We start from the raw sequence: 20,729 nt of genomic DNA, 5'->3' as shown, positions 1-20,729 counted from the left end.
ACTTGGGCAAGAAACAAATAAGGTGCCAGGATCAATTAAGGTAATTATCTAGTTCTCTTGCTAAATGCTTCCAAAAGACATTTCCTCCTTTGGCATTATTCACTAAAAGCAATGAAGGAAGGAGATAGGGAAGGAAAGAAGGAAGGAGATAGGGAAGGAAAGGAGGAAGGAAGGGTGGAACGACAGCATCCTTACTAATTTAATTGCTGGTTGACTAAATGGATTTTTTTTTTCCTCCAGCTGCTAGCCTCAGTTCAAAACATGATTCGCTACCTTTTACGAGCAAACTGATTATGAAGACATAACAAGTGTTCTTCGATGTTGTGATAAATAATATAATTTTAAAAATAAACATGGGTTACAAAATTTAATGTACAGTATCATAGTATCACAATTATATAGGAAAAAAATTAAAGGAATCACCCCAAATTGCTAACAATTGCTGTTACAGCTCTAACTCCATAAGTAATTGTTTCCTCTTTCCCTTACATTTTTCAAAGTTTCTTCAACTCAAACACGTTATACTTCTATAATAACAAAGCAAATTTTAAAAAACTTAAATATTGTCTATCAAGAAATATGAAATATATATTAAAAATTTCAAATTTTAATTATATATGTATGTCATGTATATACACACTCACACAGGAAATCTATCTTCAAAAAATAAACTGAGAAACAATGAATTATGAAGATGTCAATTCTATTTATAATAATGAAAAACTGTAAACAACCTAATCAAAGAATGGCTTAACAAATTACAGTATAGCACCCCTTAAAAGAAGAATTACACATTTTTTTTAAATGGAGATTTTAGAGAATTAAAGACAGGAAATGTTCATGACATAACATTAATATTAAGCTTGGACCTAAAACTGTAACTTCATCAAACTTTGAAAAACATTAAGACATACATACTCACACAAAATCACACACACATATATATATACATAAAATATAAAAACGCATCAAAATATTTAGAGAAAAAGAAACTGGAAGGAAATACACAAAAATATTAATAGCAGTTATCTCTTCATGAATTAAAATTTCCTTTTTGATATTTTCCTAATTTTGAAACTTCCTATAATAAAGATATACTATTCTTTTTTTTTTTTTTTTTTTTTTGAGACGGAGTTTCTCTCTTGTTGCCCAGGCTGGAGTGCAATGGCGCAATCTTGGCTCACTGCAACCTCCGCCTCCCGGGTTCAAGCGATTCTCCTGCCTCAGCTTCCCAAGTAGCTGGGATTACAGGCATGCACCACCACTCCTGGCTAATTTCATATTTTTAGTAGAGATGGGGTTTCTCCACGTTGGTCAGGCTGGTCTCAAACTCCTGGCCTCAGGTGATCCACCCACCTCGGCCTCCCAAAGTGCTGAGATTACAGGCATGAGCCACCATGCCAGCCAGATATACTATTCTTATAATCAGAAAAAAAGGTTAATAATGTGTTACTAATAGACCAACATATTACATGCTACTACCAGTGCATGTAATAAAGAAAAAGATTATTAAGAGATTTAAAATAGGCTTTTTATTTTTAAAAATTGACTTATTCACAAATTTGGTCTTTCAAAAGGTTTTATTGGAAATTTTCCCTAAAATGATTTAAAACAGCAGTCCTTTTGGGTGGCATTATTTGTGTATACAGAAACAGTGTATTTCATGTGCATTTTCTTTGACTCCATGATAAAATGTGAGCAGAAAAGTTAGTACAAATTAGAGAGTAATGCTAGAAACAAGTAGTACTAATGGTAGGAGCAGTGAAAAATTTTTATTTTTTCTTTTCATTTTCCTATAATTAACCCAGAGAAATCAATAAATGTGATTTTAAAAAGTAAAAGGAAATACGATTGGGTCAACTGACAGAATTAGAAAATGAAAATTAAATCAGATAAAAATATTACACCAATACCAAATTTCCTGAAAGTGGTAACTACACTACGGCTATATAAGAAAATGCCCTCGTTCATAGAAATACACAATAAAGTATTTAGGGGTAAAGGAGAATTCAACTTACTCTCAAATGATTCACAGAAACACACACACACACACACAGAATGAGAGACTACTAAAAGTGTATAAAATAAATTGGCACAATGTTAGTAATATATGAATCTGGATAACGGGTATATGAAAATGCTTTGTACTATTTTTTAAGTCTTCTATATATTTTAAATTCTGAAGAAAAAAAAGTAGTGATATAACATAGGAGAAAAGAGGAAAAGAACTTACCTCAATATTTTCTTCCCCAAACTTCTCCACAGCTTTCTCCTCAGAAAGGCCACAAGCACCATATTCCAAAGGAGTAAATACAGTGGTTGGAACATTTTCATAGTCACACTGTTTAAAAATGGAGGTAAGGAGTTATAATAGGCAAAGTTATAACTTAAAAAAAAAGGTATTCAAAAAAGTCAAAATTGACAAAGGATATAAGAGTAATAAATTTCTACCAAAGTATGTGAAGTCTCAATCCGAGATATTAATTAATTAATCTACTACATTGAGAACCATTAACTTATTTGAAAAGTTTAGTGGATAGAAGTGTGAAGTCTGGTAAGACTATGAGAAAAAGATTCATGCAGCTTCTCCATCCATCAACCAACTGATGTTATCAACAATGACACACTTTTTTCCCCTTAATAAAGCAGCCAAAAATAATACTGGTGTACCCAAATCTGATAGTTTTGGATTATCAGTGATAAAAAATTAAAAGATTTCTTTAAAACATCAATTAGGTAATATTAACAGCCATAAAACATTTTATCCTTTTGGCCCAATAATCCCACCTTTAGAAATCTATAATAAGATTATAGATATTATAATTTAACATATAGATATATAGTACGATATATTACTATATTTTACTATAATATACAATACTAACATAGTAATAGTTTGATATACAGAAAAGGCTACATGTATTAACTGAACATTGCTGTAGTACTCAATAGTGGCAATGTTGGAATGGCTTAAAAATCCCAATTAGGGCCGGGCGCAGTGGCTCACACCTGTAATCCGAGCACTTTGGGAGGCTGAGGCTAGTGGATCACCTGAGGTCAGGAGTTCGAGACCAGCCTGGCTAACATGGTGAAACCCCATCTCTACTAAAAAATACAAAAATTAGCTGGGCGTGGTGGCAGGCGCCTGTAATCTCAGCTACTCGGGAGGCTGAGGCAGGAGAATCGCTTGAACCCGGGAGGCAGAGGTTGCAGTGAGCCAAGATCACGCCATTGCACTCCAGCCTGGGGGACAAGAGTGAGTCTTCGTCTCAAAAAAAAGTAAAAAAAAATCCCAATTAGGAAATGGTTCTATAGTTCACACCCTTAATGTAAAACTGCACTATGCAGCCATTAAAATGGTAAAGAAGACCATGGGGAAAAAAAGGTTAACTCTTAGGACTATTTTTCAAAGCATACTGTATGATGTTAACAGGTATAGATGACAAGGGGATTCCATAGTCAAATGAACTTGTAAAGAACTGGATTAAGCAAATAAATGAGTTCCTCTATCAGATTTCTCAGAACTTTTAATATGCTGTGAATTGTGAAAAAATATATTATGTAAATGCCAAGGGTTTATAATGCCATCTGGTAAAAGCCTAGCAGTTATACTTATACACAGAGGCGATCCAAAGTAACATTCTGCATTTAAAATAAGAGAAGTACAATTCTCACTCTCTAAAACAGGGAGATAAAATCTTTAAAATATGCTCCCCTCTAGAAACAATAAATATAATCCATTTTCTCTAAAAAAAAATACATAGAACCTTGGAATTCTAATTTAAAAGTAAAGGCAGACAACCACTTATACCACAGTGGTGTATCAGGGACCACATTTACCCTCCTGCTTTAAACAACTAGGAAACCAGACAGGGATGAAGCAACACATTTTAAGACATCGACCAAGAGGCAGTGCAAGCCTGTGATCCCTGCGGGAAGGGAAACAAATGAGATGAGTCCTGTGACTGCTCCAGCTTACTGCTCAGAGACAGTTTCTAAGCCTCAGTGCAGAGAGGGAGAGCTCAAACAGAGCCCAGGGTCTTTCCTGGAAGCCAAGGTGGTTTCAAGTTGCAAGGCAGAAAACCAGAAAGGATGGAATTGCACGCATAAAGAGAGTTCTTGAGGTCTGTAGAGGTCTTCCTAGATTACGGCTGAGACAGAGAAGAGTATGTCCAACAGAAACAAAAAGATCCATGAATTTATTTTATTTATTTATTTTTTTTTTTGGAGACAGGGTCTTACTCTGATGCCCAGGCTGGACTGCAGTGTGTGATCACAGCTCACTGCAGCCTTCACCTCCCAAGTTCGGGTGATTCTTCCACCTCAGCGCTCTGTGTAGCTGGGACTAGAGGCACGCACCACCTCACCGATCTCATTTTTTGTATATTTTGTAGAGATAGGGTTTCACCATGTTGCCCAGGCTGGTTTCGAATTCCTGGGCAAGTGATCCTCCTGCCTCAGCCTCCCAATGTGCTGGGTTACAGGTGTGAGCCACTGTGCCCAGCTGTACCCCTTACTTTAAAGTACAACTCCATTCAATGTTTTAGCCTTTTTTTTTTAAGGAAACCACTGAGACATGAATTTAAGAATAAATTAAGTGCATCCAATCTCAAGCTATATTGAGGTACCAGATACTCAACAACTGCAACAATGCATACAAGATGTAATTCAAAGAGGTAGTCTTGTTAAATTTATTCTAAATAGTAATACGAACCAACTGCTATTCCCTCAATAATCAGTCAATCTGGCATTCAAAATCTTTTTTAACCCTCAATCCATTAATTCAAAATATGAGATTTTATTATGCTACATCCCAAATAACCCCAGGTCACAAATTTTGCTAGCATCACTTTTTGAGATTCCCATTACTGTAACCAACTGAAACCAATGTAAGGAAAATGGGTAATGCCAAAATTCTTTACAACTAATGTTTCTGGAAACCTTTTTAAAAAACAGCTGTCTTTATTCTTTTCTGGCCATCTAGTCCCATGAAACATACTGAAGAGTTTTAACATCCTATACTGACTTTTAAAAAATCATTTTAAAATTCAATATAACATTTAACATATTCAACATCCTAAAACAGATATTTTCCTTTTTTTTTTTTTTTTTTTTTGAGGCAGAGTCTCACTCTGTCACCCAGGCTGGAGTGCAGTGGTGCAATCTCGGCTCACGGCAAGCTCCGCCTCCCGGGTTCAGGCCATTCTCCTGCCTCAGCCTCCAGAGTAGGTGGGACTACAGGCGCCCGCCACCACCACGGCCGGCTAATTTTTTGTATTTTTAGTAGACACAGGGTTTCACCATGTTAGCCAGAATGGTCTCAATCTCCTGACCTCGTGATCTGCCTGCATCAGCCTCCCAAAGTGCTGGGATTACAGGCATGAGCCAACGCACCTGGCCTCTAAGACAGATATTTTCTAAGGACTGGGTAATAAGGCCTGAATAGTGGTTTAAGCTACTTTGTACACTGACACCATTACCTAAATCCTCAAGTCCTTTTATAGCCTAGATAAGTGCCATAAAAAGACTCAGAACATTTTATTTATACTGGTAATGATGAAATTGACATAAAATACAACTGTTTAGAGTATATGGATATAAAGTACACTATTCAACAACAGTGCTGAAAACTTGATTAATCAAGCTCTTTTTATTCATAATGTGAATCCAAGATGTCAATTTTCTTTTTTTTTTTTTTAATTTTTTTTTTTAGATGGAGTCTCGCTCTGTAGCCATGGCAGGAGTAGAGTGGCACAATCTTGGCTCACTGCAACCTCTGCCTCCCAGTTCCCCGTTCAAGCAATTCTCCTGCCTCAGCCTCCTGAGTAGCTGGGATTACAGGCATGCGCCACCATGCCCAGCTAATTTTTGTATTTTTAGTAGAGATGGGGTTTCGCCATGTTGGCCAGGCTGGTCTTGAACTCCTGACCTGGTGATCTGCCTGCCTCAGCCTCCCAAAGTATTGGGATTACAGGCATGAGCCACTGTGCCCGGCGGAGTGTCGATCTTCATAATAAAGTCACAATGTACAGCAGCCTTAATAATATCTTGTCTGGAATACAACTAATAAAGGACATCTAGGATGCCATCACCAAAATAACTAAATTATTCAAGATCTGCGAAACTTCCCAACTGCCCCCTAAATAAGGAACTGGGAGTATTACTGACAACAGTATCTAATGGGCAACAAGCACAACACTCACCTTGACAGTGGAACCTGCATAGAGCCTCTGAGCCAGCAATCTTCCTGCCTGGATTGCAACTGGGGTGAGCTCCACCTTATCCTCCAATATATCGCCAATGGCATAGATGTAAGGCACATTGGTCTGTTCTTCATCTGTGACAGGTATTTTTCCAGTCCTGCAATTTTATTCAGTTAAAAATCATCATTAATTACCATTATTAATTAAGGAGAACAAAATCTTCCGTTTTTTCAGGGAAGCCCAAAATTGTGACTCTAGCTGAGGGCAATGTTCTAATGTGTTAAAAATAAAACAAAACAGCTCAAAGGAACAAAAATCTTATCAGATAATGACAATTCTGTCCACGGTTCTGAAAATCAAAGAAATAAGAAAACTCTAAGAAATCTGAGAATGGAAGAACTCCAACACAGTGGTTAAGAGTGAGGATTCTAAATTATAACTCCCCTCAAAATGGATAAAAGAAAACAAACAGGAAACACTAATGTGAATGGCACTGGAAGAAAAGTTTCATTTCTTCATAGTTGAAGAGCTCAACTATGGTAAAAATTAGGTTTAAAAAATCTAAAATTCGGCCAGGCACAGTGGCTCACACCTGTAATCCCAACACTTTGGGAGGCTGATGTGGGTAGATCACTAGAGGCCAAAAGATGGAGACCAGCCTGGCCAGCATGATTATAGGTGTGATGGCAGGCGCCTGTAATCCAGCTACCAGGGAGGCTGAGGCACAAGAATCACTTGAACACAGGAAGCAGAGGTGGCAGTGACATGAGATTGCACTACTGCACTCCAGCCTGGGTGACAGAGCGAGACTCTGTCTCAAAAAAACAAACATACCAACAAAAAACTAAAATTCTATAATTGACCAATGCTGTAAATAACTGAAATAGTATTAAATATGACATAATGGGCCAGGCACAGTGGCTCACACATGTAATCCCAGCACTTTGGGAGGCCAAGGCAGGTGGATCACCTGAGGTCAGGAGTTCGACACCAGCCTGACCAACATGGCGAAACCCCATCTCTACTAAAAATACAAAAATTAGCCAGGTGTGGTGGTGCATGCCTGTAATCCCAGCTACATGGGAGGCTGAGGCAGGAGAATGGCTTGATCCCAGGGGACGGAGGTTGCAGTGAGCCGAGATCGTGCCATTGTACTCCAGCCTGGGAGACAAGAGAGAAACTCCATCTCAAAAAAAAAAAAAAAAAAAAAATCCCACAAATATGACATAATAAAGATTTTTTTCTTACTTTTCATTTATCTTCACCCCTACGGTTTCTAAGCCAATTTTTCTTGTGCAAGCATCTCTTCCTATTGCCAGCATCACCTGAAAAATTATTAATATATTAGTGACTAATAACAAAAAGGCTTTGCATTTATTACCTAATCATATTTTTCTCTGCTTATTAAGCTAATCTGATTTCATTTTTCAAACTTGGAAATAAATATTTCAGTAAGAAAGTAATGCAAGAGTTTAAATAAATTAAAATCTTCAGAAAAAAATCCTTTGAACATATATGATATAGTAGAAATTATTTTCCACTTCTGATTAGGAAAAAGAGAATTCATAATGCCTTAATAAACCTATCCAAGTTTAAAGACAATGACATCATAGTCTGTAACTAAATTATTTTTTAAGTGGTTGCGTGGGGAGATGAAAGGAAAGAACACGGGACAGAAATTCTGGCTCATTTAAAAATTCTGTTGCCTTTGTATAGCCATTTGACTAATAATACTTTAAGTTACAGTGGAAAAAATCTGAAGCCATCCGTTTACCAAAACAACTTTTTTTTTTTTTTTTTGAGATGGAGTCTCGCTCTGTCACCCAGGCTGGAGTGCAGTGGCACAATCTCGGCTCACTGCAACCTAGGTCTCCTGGGTTCAAGCGATTCTCCTGCCTCAACGTCCCGAATAGCTGGGACTACAGGCGCACGCCACCACGCCCGGCTAATTTTTGTATTTTTAGTAGAGTCGGGGTTTCACCACGTTGGCCAGGATGGTCCCGATCCCTTGACCTCGTGATCTGCCCGCCTTGGCCTCCCAAAGTGCTGGGATTACAGGCGTGAGCTAACACACCTGGCCACCAAAACAAATTTTAATATCATAAGTTATTGAGATGTCTAAGAATTGGCATAGAACCAGTACATTTGGAAATCACTAAGAGCCATTTTAAGTTCCTATAAGATACCCAATAAGCATGTTATTTGCTTTCTGATAAAGTATTAACCTGGGCCCATTCCTTACCGTATTATATTCTCCTTCAATGATTTCCTCACTATTGGTGGACTGAGCTACTACTCTGAGTCGGCCTGGTGTCCCTGCTTCAATTTGTTCAACCTGTAAGAGTGATAAAGTTTTACTGTGAAATAAAGACATTTATCAAGTTGGATTCTCTACCTTCCCCTTCCATCTGGTTAACCCAAAGTTAAAATATAAAATCGTGCTTGAAAAGTCTTTTATGTCCCATCTCCCTCACTTAACATTATTAGGATGATAAATGATTATTTCCTTCTTTTTCGCTGCTCAATGTTGTCTGCTAGAGGGGCTTTCTTTGAAAGAGTTCTCAAACAATAAAATTCAGAGAAAAATGGGGGGGAAAAGCAAGCTACAGAAAGCACACTACCATCCCTAAAATCAAACCAATGACTTACTGCTTTTCCCAGGTTTCTATCTTGTGATTCACCCAGAATCATTAATCCCATGGAGGGCAACTGTTGCCCAAATTCAGAGATTCTCTTTTGACTACAGATGCTCAGCTTTCATTGACAACAAAGGATAGATTACATTACAGCAGGTCCATAGTGATATGGGTAACAGTTACAAAGTCTTAAAAATCGGAGTGGGCAAGGAGATGTGGGTGTTTATCAGAACCAGGGGGTGTTTTCAGTTGTTAAGGATGCAGAAAGAAATGAGCAAGCCCTGATACTTGAGTGATGGCAGAGGAGAATAAATATACCAACCTACTACAAATAGATGTCAACAACAACCTACAGACTAGGTATAATGACTTAGAAACCCACCTGGGGTCGGGTGCGGTGGCTCACGCCTGTAATCCCAGCACTTTGGGAGGCCGAGGCGGGAGGATCATGAGGTCAGGAGATCGAGACCAGCCTGACCAACATAGTGAAACCCCGTCTCTACTAAAAATACAAAAATTAGCCGGGCGTGGTGGCGGGCGCCTGTAGTCCCAGCTACTTGGGAGGCTGAGGCAGAAGAATGGCGTGAACCCGGGAGGCGGAGCTTGCAGTGAGCCAAGATCACGCCACTGCACTCCAACCTAGGTGACAGAGCAAGACTCCATCTCAAAAAAAAAAAAAAAACGAAACCCACCTGGGAAACTATCCAGGGTTATTTTATTTGACATCAATAAATAATAAAAATTTCCTTCCTGAATTCCCTTTCCTTCTTATATAGTTAAATGAGCCTCTCTGAACATACTGGAGAAGTCTTTCTTGTTTAATTTTAATCAAAATGTTCTAATCCTTGGAAAAGAGCTTAATTGGTCCATTGCTTAAGATTTGTTTGGAAATGATAAGGGCCTCATCCCACCTCCACCCTTATTCACTTTTGTACTTCAATCAGGCCTTTTTGGTATCTAGAACAATATTTCTCCCCACAGAGCCTTTGTACACATACTACATTCTCTGTCCAAAATGTACCCTCTCCCCACTCTCCACAGAAGGTTCCTTCCATTCGGTCACTTTATAATACAGCAAGAGTTTAATACCCAGCTGTGGGAATCAGATACTCTGGTAACCCTATTTTACTAGGAATAGTCCACCAGGTTTTCAAAAGGGTCCACAACTCCCCAAATGTTAAAAAATTGTATATAGGTCCCCGTCCGGGAGGGAGGTGGGGGGGGGTCAGCCCCCCCGCCCGGCCAGCCGCCCCGTCCGGGAGGTGAGGGGCGCCTCTGCCCGGCCGCCCCTACTGGGAAGTGAGGAGCCCCTCTGCCCGGCCAGCCGCCCCGTCCGGGAGGGAGGTGGGGGTGTCAGCCCCCCGCCCGGCCAGCCGCCCCGTCCGGGAGGGAGGTGGGGGGGTCAGCCCCCCTGCCCGGCCAGCCGCCCCGTCTGGGAGGGAGGTGGGGGTGTCAGCCCCCCGCCCGGCCAGCCGCCCCGTCCGGGAGGGAGGTGGGGGTGTCAGCCCCCCGCCCGGCCAGCCGCCCCGTCCGGGAGGTGAGGGGCGCCTCTGCCCGGCCGCCCCTACTGGGAAGTGAGGAGCCCCTCTGCCCGGCCAGCCGCCCCGTCCGGGAGGGAGGTGGGGGGTCAGCCCCCCGCCCGGCCAGCCGCCCCGGCCGCCCCTACTGGGAAGTGAGGAGCCCCTCTGCCCGGCCACCACCCCTTCTGGGAGGTGTGCCCAACAGCTCATTGAGAACGGGCCAGGATGACAATGGCGGCTTTGTGGAATAGAAAGGCGGGAAAGGTGGGGAAAAGATTGAGAAATCGGATGGTTGCCGTGTCTGTGTAGAAAGAAGTAGACATGGGAGACTTTTCATTTTGTTCTGCACTAAGAAAAATTCCTCTGCCTTGGGATCCTGTTGATCTGTGACCTTACCCCCAACCCTGTGCTCTCTGAAACATGTGCTGTGTCCACTCAGGGTTAAATGGATTAAGGGCAGTGCAAGATGTGCTTTGTTAAACAGATGCTTGAAGGCAGCATGCTCGTTAAGAGTCATCACCACTCCCTAATCTCAAGTAATCAGGGACACAAACACCGCGGAAGGCCGCAGGGTCCTCTGCCTAGGAAAACCAGAGACCTTTGTTCACTTGTTTATCTGCTGACCTTCCCTCCACTATTGTCCCATGACCCTGCCAAATCCCCCTCTGTGAGAAACACCCAAGAATTATCAATAAAAAAATAAATTAAAAAAAAAAAATTGTATATAGGAAGATGTTACTTTCTATCAGTACAGCATATACATACAACTGTTGTTTATGAATCATAGCTCTAATGCAAATATAGCATATATACCTCTACTCTAAAAAACAGCTACAGGCCAGGCGCAGTGGCTCAGGCCTGTAATCTCAGCACTTTGGGACACTGCACTGGGAGGACCACTTGAGGTCAGGAGTTCAAGACCAGCCTGGCCAACATGGTGAAAGCCCTCTCTACTGAAAATATAAAAATTAGCCGGGTGTGGTGGCACGCACCTGTGGCCCCAGTTACTCAGGAGGCTGAGGCACCAGAATCGCTTGAACTTGGGAGGCAGAGGTTGCAGTCAGCTGAGATTGGGCTACTGCACTCCAGCCTGGGTGACAAAGCAAAACTCCGTCTCAAAAAAAAAAAAAAAAAAAAAAAAGGTAAAAATAAAAAACAGCTACAGTAATCAAGCACTGACAGCTTCCAGGAAATTTGTGCCTTAATCTTCATAACAATATTATGAGATGATTCACTTTAAACTTACTCTCTACCAGGTACTTTTCTAATTACTTTATAAGTGTTGGCTAATGCAATCCTCACAAGAATTGTTAGATGCTATTTTCAACCTCATTTTACAGAAGAAACGGGTTCAGAGAGGTAACTCTTCCAAAGTCATAGAGCAAGAAACTGGCAGAATATTATCTGAATTCAGGTCATTCTGATCCCAAAGTTCATATTCTTATCTATCAGCATTAGGAGATCCATAGTCACATACACAACTCAAGTCAACCCACTGAGAGATGAAAAAAAAAAAAAAGACAACTATAATTCCTTAACTTTAACAAAATAGTCCCACCATTTTCCCTGCACTAGAGAAAATTATCTATTAGTCTGAGACACACACTAAGTGTTCAATTTTGTCACTCATATATGAAAACATTTGTGATAATGGTAACAAATCCCAGGTGTGACTTGGCATAGTATTAGCTCCTTTCAAAAGATTAAAAGAGCGAAAAAGGTTAGCACACATAAATAAATGAGATAATCACTTTCAGGGATGCCAGAAGTATGTAGTGTTTATGTAGTGTTTATGTTATCATATACCAAGGGGAAATGTCCTGTGGGGAGCCAGGGAGTGCAGGTGGGGCCTAGTGTTGAACTCTTATTTAAATCTCTGGTACATATGAAGAAACAAAGTATTAAGAGACCAAAGATGACAAAGGAATGCATAAAGGAAAGCATTAAACAGAAGAGAAGAAAACCAAAATTTAGAAAGTTGACAAAGGAAGAGATTATTAATCTACAAATAAGAACAAAGCTATATAGGTGTTTAGATGGTAGGGAGGTACAAGTTTATATACCAGTATACAACAGTAGGGGAATCAGCATTCCTGATGGTTTATAATGCTGAAAGGATGCTTCTACCACCAACTCAACTCTCTTTTTGCCTTTTACTGTGAATGTAGAATCAAGAAACCTACAGGCAAACCCACTTACTTTAATTGGTACGAACTGTCTTATAAACTTGATGCCATGTTCTTCCATGTGTTCACCAATTTTGTTGGCCATGTCCTGGTCAAATCCTCTAAGAAGAATGGACCTAACCATAACAGTGACGTCTAAACCAATACCAGCAAGAAATCCAGCGCACTCCAAAGCGACATAGGATGCTCCAACAACCAGGGTCTTACCCGGGCAGTAAGGCAAGGAGAAAAGATCATCACTGGGGGAAAAAAAAAAAAAAGGAAGAAAGAAGAAAAAGAAAGTTCCTATATAAATAATTACTAAATCCAAGTACACATTTTTACTTTGACAAGAACATACTTTCAAGATGATAAACATTCTACTAGCTACACACATAATACATGAGAAGTTTTTATAATTCTTAGATACCCTTTCTTGCCACTCAGTTGCTTTGGGAGTAGCTCAAGCTACCCATAGCTAAACACAGCAAACTGTGTAACTTCTGATATTAGTCAGTTAGTCCAATTCATCTTCACACTAAATGATTTTGAACTGTTTGGAACAAATTATAGATTTGCAAACCCTAACCTCCATCCTCATGCCACCACTCAGCTCTGAGGTGGAAAAACCTGTGTTGCTTGTCCTCAGCTGAAACACCAATTATTATCAAGAATGTGGACTAGGATGCAGAAAAAAAAAAAAACTTTCAATATCTTATAATATAAAAGCCAACTATAAGGAGTAGAACCTGACAAAAGTCTTCTAGTTGAGCTAGGGACACAGAGATCATAAAAGCATGTTAGAGAATGAGTTTTTAAAAAATATTGGAAGGGAGCCTGCTATTGTCTGAATGTTTATGTATCCCCAAAATGCACACATTAACATCCTAAACCCCAAGGCAATGATATTAGGGGTTGGGCTTTTGGGAGGTGATTAGGCCATGAGGGCAGAGCACTCATGAATGGGGCTACTGTCCTCATAAAAAAGGCCCCAGAGACCTGCCTCTCCCTCTCCCACCATGTGAGAAAGGATAAAAGCATATACCAAAAAGAGCCTGAAGGAGTAGAGTAATTTATAACACAATCAGAAACTCCTGAGCAAAAAGCATCCAAGAAGACACATTTACCAACACTCTGTCTTAATGACTTCATAATTGAAAGCTCCTGAACAATGTCAGCAGTGTTACCATTTGACGGGCAAAAATAAACCACACAGCAAAACATCTCCTTGCTTGACTTGTTTCAGGAGGTCCTTCTACACTGACACTGCAACCATTCAAACAGCATTGAGTAGGGTCTAGATTCTGATAAATCTAAATGGCCTGACAGCCTCTAATTCTTTTAGCAGCCACTCTGCAAGTGTTAAAGGGTAATACATGATCCTCATTTTACAAAATCTAAATGTATATATGTATCATACCTATTTTACAAAATGTTTGTGAATATCCATTTGGTTTTATTACATACTTTCATACTCATACATGCATAAATAAATTTCGAATACAAATGTAAATCTATACTAGTATGTTAGTGATACTCTGTGTAGCAAGATGACCAATGTTTGAAGTTTTCAATATTTAAAATGTTCTCCTTTAAAATCATTTTTCCTTTTTCTCTTTCTCCCAAACCCCTGCCCCCAGAGAGGGCACAATGTGGCAAAGAAATCTGTCTGAAGCCCAAGAAATTGACGCAGTGGGTTTGAAGAAAAATGCGAAAGCAATATCCACAATGGGTTTTTCTTTTCCACCCTGCTTTTTTCCTTTACCTGCTGATGCAGTATTCTTTGTCACCAGGGATGCCCAAGTAACGTGGTCTTTCACCAGTGGCAATGAGAAATCTCTCTGCTGAATAAATTTTTTCTTTGCCTTTATTATTTGTTGCCTACAAAGGAACCAATATGAAAACCTTATTAAGTAATCATTCCTCAGAATTGTAAACTTCATAGTTAACAAAGGCCATTCACTACATTGTCTCATTTCATCCTCATAATGAGGACAATAATATAGTAAAAAGGATAAATTAAGACTGAGTAGTTAACAGACTTACTCAAAGTCACAATGTTAGTAAGTGCTGGAGCCAAGCCTCAAAACCAGGCGGTCTGGTCCAGCATACTTACACTTTACCATACCTCCACACAAGGCCCCATAGGATGATATGATAGCAAAATCACCAAACTGGATAGTCTGGGTCACAGTGGCTATTACTTTTATTATAATACTTTAACATTTTCTAACCAAAGCTTTTAAAAAGAGAAAAAAGAAAAAAAAAAAGCTAGTCAGGATGTCACACAATTACCTTAATCCTGTGAGGACCAATAAATTGCCCATAAGCATTCTCATAGACGACTTTTTTCTCCCGCAGAGCTACTCGGTAGCCCCAATTCAAAGAGCCAATGTGATTCTGTACAGCTTCTATCATTCTGTCCCAATCATGCTTAACTGTATAAGAAAATAAAACAAAATCTTGTTTGGCTTTTCAACTGCTGGCAAAGATCATTTCTCAATAACCACTCAAGTGAAATACAGGGAGCAGAGCTCTAAAAGGCAATCTGAAAGGGCAAATCCTCCATTTTGAGCACATATGCCACTTTTTCATCTTCAAGTATTCTCTTATAAGACTAATACAATTAAATAATACAAGACAGATCCCCTGACAATTTTAAACTAAAATAACAATACACAAACTTTTTCCTTCTTTATCTAGAAACGAACTTGAATTTTACTGATTTCTGGGATATATTAAGGCTTAGGATTCTGTGTTTGTAAGAAAATCCAAGAGATTCTGATGTAGCCGAGTATGGAGTTACTACACTAGTAACAGTGTTTATGTCAGGGGCTGGCAAACTGCACCATGGGCCAATCCAGCCCATCAGCTTTTTGTAAATAAAGCTTTATTAAAATACAGCCATGCTTATTTATTTCGATATTTTCTAGTGCTACTTTCACACTACATAAGCAGAGTTAAGTAGCTACTAGAGACCCTATGCCCCAAGAATCCTAAAATATTTACCATATGGCCTTTTACGGAAAAAATTCACTGACTATTCATTTAGACAGGATTTTAAGAGTCTTATCACATTTCCTCCAAACTCCCATATCTTATCAAAGAGAAAACTTTTTTATTCTTTTTGATTCTGTCATAATTAAATTAATCCTTTAAGTCAGGACACTAAAGTAATATTAAATTTCAAAGGATAAAAATCAACCCTTTGGTTGCCCAGACTGCCCAGACTGGAATGCAGTGGCTCAATCTGGGCTCACTGCAACCTCCGTACCCCTCAACCCAGGGTTCAAGCTATTCTCGTGCCTCAGCCTCAAGAGTAGCTGGGACTACAAGTGTGGGCCATCATGCCCAGCTAATTGTTTATATTTTTAGTAGAGACGCAGTTTTGCCATGTTGGCCAGGCTGGTCTCAAACTCCCGACCTCAAGTGCTCTGCCGACTTCAGCCTCCCAAAGTGCTGGGATTACAGGCATGAGTCATTGCACCCAGCCTCAATAATCTCTTCTTTAGAGACAGGGTCTCACTCTGTTGCCCAGGCTGGAGTGCAGTGGTGCAATCAATCACAGCTCACTGCAGCCTTGAACTCCTGGGCTCAAATTATCCCCCTGCTTCAGCCTCCTGAGAAGCTGGGACTATAGGAGAGGGCTTCCAGGCCCGACTAATTATTCTTTGTAGAGACAGGCTCTTGCTTTGTTGTCCAAGGTAGTCTCGAACTTCTGGTCTCAAACTGATCCTTTCCCCTTGGCCTCCTAAACTGTTGGGATTACAGGCATGATCCTGGCTGGCTATACAGTAAGTTTTGAAAATAGGCTTATAACACTTACTGGCCAGCCTCTGGAAGTGGGAATGACAGCACAAAAAATTGATTTATAGCCTCTAAGAGAACAGATAGATCATGGATATTGAATTCATATGATCATAATGTTAGAATTAGAGCAAACCTTAAGAAATTGGTTCAACTGAAAAAAAAAAAAAAAAAAAAAGTAACTGCAGATGCCACTGCGGTTATGGTTCTAGAGGACCAGGTAGCTTGTGGGTAGGGAAGGCTGCAGGAAGCTTGGACTAACCTCCCTGCCTGGCCTCTGTCTACCACCACTACAAAAGGCTCAGGACTTGCTGTTTCTCTGCTAGGAGTGGAATAGAATAGTATATAGCTCACCCACATGTGCTAATCATCTAAGCTGCAGTAATTATCAATGTTTTACAAAATTTCCTCCTATATCCCTCTCTCTCTTAAGGGTCTGAGCAAACAATGTGACCCCAACATTATAAAACTTTAAAAGTTAGTGATTTTCTAAGATTCCAGACTTGGAAAAGGTACTATTATTTTAAGTAGGAAGTAAAAGCATCAACAAGAGAAGCATAACTAGTTTGAGTGAGAGCAAAATTTTTCCAAGTATACATTTATGCCTTATCTTTACATTTAATAAACAATTAAAACCCCAAAAAAGCCACAAAATGTTTATCCTGGCTACTGGCTGGAATATTTTCCCTCAAATGCTCCATAATGCATAGGTCTCAAACCTCAAATCACATAGGGGTTGGAGTTTCACTCTTCACAACAGAGTGACATATGTCATAAATTAGCCAGGAAGCTATGCCAGATCTCATTTTATTCTTCTACTAAATAATGCAATCTACTTTCTAAAATTAACAATTCCACCAGGCACGGTGGCTCACACCTGTAATCCCAGCACTTTGGGAGGCTGAGGCAGGTGGATCATGAGGTCAGGAGATCGAGACCATCCTGGCTAACATGGTAAAACCCCACCTCTACTAAAAATGCAAAAAATTAGCCAGGCGTGGTGGCAGGCGCCCGTAATCCCAGCTACTCGGGAGGCTGAGGCAGGAGAATGGTGTGAACCCGGGAGGCGGAGCTTGCAGTGAGCTGAGATCGTGCCACTGCACTCCAGCCTGGGCGACAGAGTGAGACTCCGTCTCAAATAAATAAATAAATAAAAATAAAATTAACAATTCCAATCTCTTAAACTCATCTAGGGTTTCTAGGGTACTCTAAATAGTTTTAATCCAACAAAGCCTAACCACCCCCTCCTGAACAAACAACCCCCACCCCCCACAAACATCAGCTCATGAAACAGACTTCTTTGGAGGGAGAAAAATGCAACATGAAAGAAAGCAAATGCAATTAGTACTTCCTTACAAATTATAAACATTGTATGATTTCTCACAAATACTACATGACAATATATTCAAAAGAACTCTAATTTTATATTACAGAAATACCATAGTCCAAATGCAGTATCTGTTGTTACCATAACAACTATGTAAATACTTGACAAAGGATAACTCCAGTGATTATATCCATCAAAAATGTAAACAATAAAAACAACTAGGCTATTTGCTATCTTCATGAAAATGGACGACGCATCACAAAAATTGCAGCTCAAACCCCCAAAAGCACAAACAGAAGAGTAGCTTTTCCCTCTCATACCTGTCTCCTCGACTTTCCATCCATAATTTCGAGAGTCTTGCAGGGCTTGTCCTAACAAAGCTGCTTGATGCATCAGTTTTTTAGGTATGCAACCCACATTCACACATGTTCCTCCGAGACCTACAACAACATTGAGAAATCAGTTTATAACCTGCTTTCCAAGCCTTACAAACATTCAAAGAACAAAGTCAACAATTATTACAACTCTAAGAAATATTGTATTATATTTGCTTAATGTGGTCAGTAATAAAGTTTATTCCTAACTCTTACAACATCCATAAGTTCAGAGACCCTTACATACCAAACACGGTAACATCATCCTAAAACAAAACAAAAAGAGGGGCAGATTTCCACAATTTCCGTATACTTCAAAGATACAAAATTAACTGACTGCTGATAAAGATGCCAGAAATTGAAATCTTACTATGTACACAACCCTATACAGACGACCCGACTTACGATTTTTCTCTTTATGTTGATACCCATACACCCATACTGTGTTTCACTTTCAGTTCAGTATTCAGTAAATTATATGAGATATTCAACACTTTATTATAAAATAGGCTTTGTGTTAGATGATTTTGCCCAACTGTAGGTTAATGTAAGTTTTCGGAGCATGTTTAAGGTAGACCAGGCTAAGCTATGATGTTCGGGAGGTTAGGTGTATTAAATGCATTTTTGACTTGTTTTCAACTTACAAAGGATTTTATCAGGATGTAGTCCCCCATTGTAATTCAAGCAGCATCTGCACTTGCCATTGAATCTATGCAGAGGTAACTGATAAAGGGGTTGCTATGCTGGGGATGATTAGAGTGCAGTGGGTCTTAAACTGCATATAAAATTTGGTGTATATTGGCTGGGCGTGGTGGCTCACGCCTGTAATCCCAGCACTTTGGGAGGCCGAGGCGGGTGGATCATTTGAGGTCAGGAGTTCGAGACCAGCCTGGCCAAAACGGTGAAACCCTGTCTCTACTAAAAGCACAGAAAATTAGCTGGGCATGGTGGTACGTGTCTGTAATCCCAGCTACTAAGGAGGCTGAGGCAGGAGAACTGCTTGTACCCAGGAGGTGGAGGTTGCAGTGAGCCGAGATAGCGCCACTGCACTCCAGCCCGGGCGACAGAGCGAGACTCCATCTCAAAAAAAAAAAAAAAAAAAAAGAAAAAAATTTTGGTGTATATGTGCATTTTTTTAAGGAGGTGGCCTACAGCATTCACTTGGTTTTTTAAAGGATGCATGACTTCCCTTGCTCCCTAAAAATAGGTTTAGTATCCCTAAGCTTAAAGAATATGGTGACAGCTTGTTTCCATTAGAACAAAACACAGGCAGGTGACCAAAATGACATAAGAGTGAAAGATGGCAACAGACTTCACAGCTCAAAGTAAGTCCTCTGAGTAGAATACTACCAGTTGTCACTCTGGAGTATATGCTCCACAGGTCAGAAGGGATATACCTAGTACCAAGAGCAGTGTCTGACACAGATTGACACATTAAATATCTGCTGAATGGATGAATCAGAAATTGTGACATCGCCTTATCTGGACTTCCTGCTTCTTGGTTCCTTCTAATGCAAGCAGCCAAGTAATCTTTAAAAAATCTTATATTATCACATGGCTCCCCTGCCTTAGAGTCTTCAAAGGCTCATTTATATGCTCTGATTAGTCCAATTTAGTCCAAATTATATGCTTTGATTAGTCCAAATTCCTCATCTTGGCCTACAAAGCCCTCAATAGTGACACCTGCCTTCCTCTCTGGTCTCATCTCACACTACCACCTCCAGCTCCCATTATCCATGCCACAACCATGAAGGACTTTTACCTACCTCAGGGCCTTTGTATGTGCTATCCTCAAAGAAAGAGAAGCTGCCTGGAAGGTTCTGCCTCACCTTTTGACAGCTGGCTCATTCTCATTCTTTGGCCTCTTCTAAATGTCACCTCTTCAGATGTCTTCCTTGATAATCTTCTCGAAGTTAAATTCTCCTTTATCCACTTCCTCTCTATGCCACTATATTAATTTTTTCAATACCGCTTACCACAACTCCTAAAGTTCTTAGGTATCTTTTGTCTCCCCACTTAGAATATAAGCTTCACAAGGGCATGAACTTTGAATATGCCGAGTTCACTGCTATATCGTCATTGCCTTGGTTCATAATAAATGTTCAGTAAATATTATGAACATATAATTCATCAAGACTCAGAAGCAGCAAGGGCTATACAGTAGGGTATCTGATTCCAACTCTTGTTGAATGTAGGAGGTAGATTTAAAACAAATCCACATATGAAAAGTTTAAATTTTCAGTTATTAAGCCCCTATATATGCTAGATTACTCAAATATTTACCTTTAAATCATAGCTTGTAGACAGGGTTCTTACTTCTTGACTCTGTGCCAAAGAACCTAAATTTTTAGCATTTAACCTGATCCATTTTAACTTGGCTCAAATAAAAGATATATATGTTTTGGGGCTGTTTTTTCTTTAACTTAGTTTTTGATTTTTTTAATTAGGCTTTAGGAACCAGTTAGATTATTGCCAGGGGAAAACTACTTCGGCAACATCACTTCTAGAGTATCTTAAAAGCTTACCCCATCTAGTTCCAAGAGGGGTGGGAGTGACAAAGTCCAGGACCATCACCTTCTTGCCATATTGGGCTGCCTCCTGGAAAATAAAATTATTAAAGTGAGTTGGAAAGGTTAACATGACAGATTGGAAATGGGCTGTTAAAAATCCATGATTTTTTTTTAAGCTATAGAGCTT

The 20,729-nt window shown here is 39.7% G+C and overlaps 1 protein-coding gene across 7 annotated transcripts in view; it reads right to left on the bottom strand.

The window, feature by feature from the left end:
• Nucleotides 1-20,729, bottom strand: part of TXNRD1 (thioredoxin reductase 1) — a 134,529-nt gene that overhangs the window by 16,433 nt on the left and 97,367 nt on the right. For all 7 annotated transcript variants that reach the window (NM_001093771.3, NM_001261445.2, NM_003330.4 and 4 more), the window contains 9 exons: nt 20,558-20,630; nt 17,979-18,098; nt 14,820-14,962; nt 14,290-14,405; nt 12,559-12,784; nt 8,446-8,538; nt 7,452-7,528; nt 6,204-6,360; nt 2,234-2,341 (listed from right to left, as the gene is read on the bottom strand). In NM_001093771.3, the coding sequence (NP_001087240.1) occupies nt 2,234-2,341; nt 6,204-6,360; nt 7,452-7,528; nt 8,446-8,538; nt 12,559-12,784; nt 14,290-14,405; nt 14,820-14,962; nt 17,979-18,098; nt 20,558-20,630 (1,113 nt within the window). The remainder of the gene's footprint in view (nt 1-2,233; nt 2,342-6,203; nt 6,361-7,451; nt 7,529-8,445; nt 8,539-12,558; nt 12,785-14,289; nt 14,406-14,819; nt 14,963-17,978; nt 18,099-20,557; nt 20,631-20,729) is intronic.

The sequence above is a fragment of the Homo sapiens genome, chromosome 12 (genome assembly GCF_000001405.40).
Source record: "Homo sapiens chromosome 12, GRCh38.p14 Primary Assembly".
In the NCBI taxonomy this organism is placed as follows: domain Eukaryota; kingdom Metazoa; phylum Chordata; class Mammalia; order Primates; family Hominidae; genus Homo; species Homo sapiens.
This window is presented reverse-complemented; position numbering and strand designations above follow the sequence as displayed.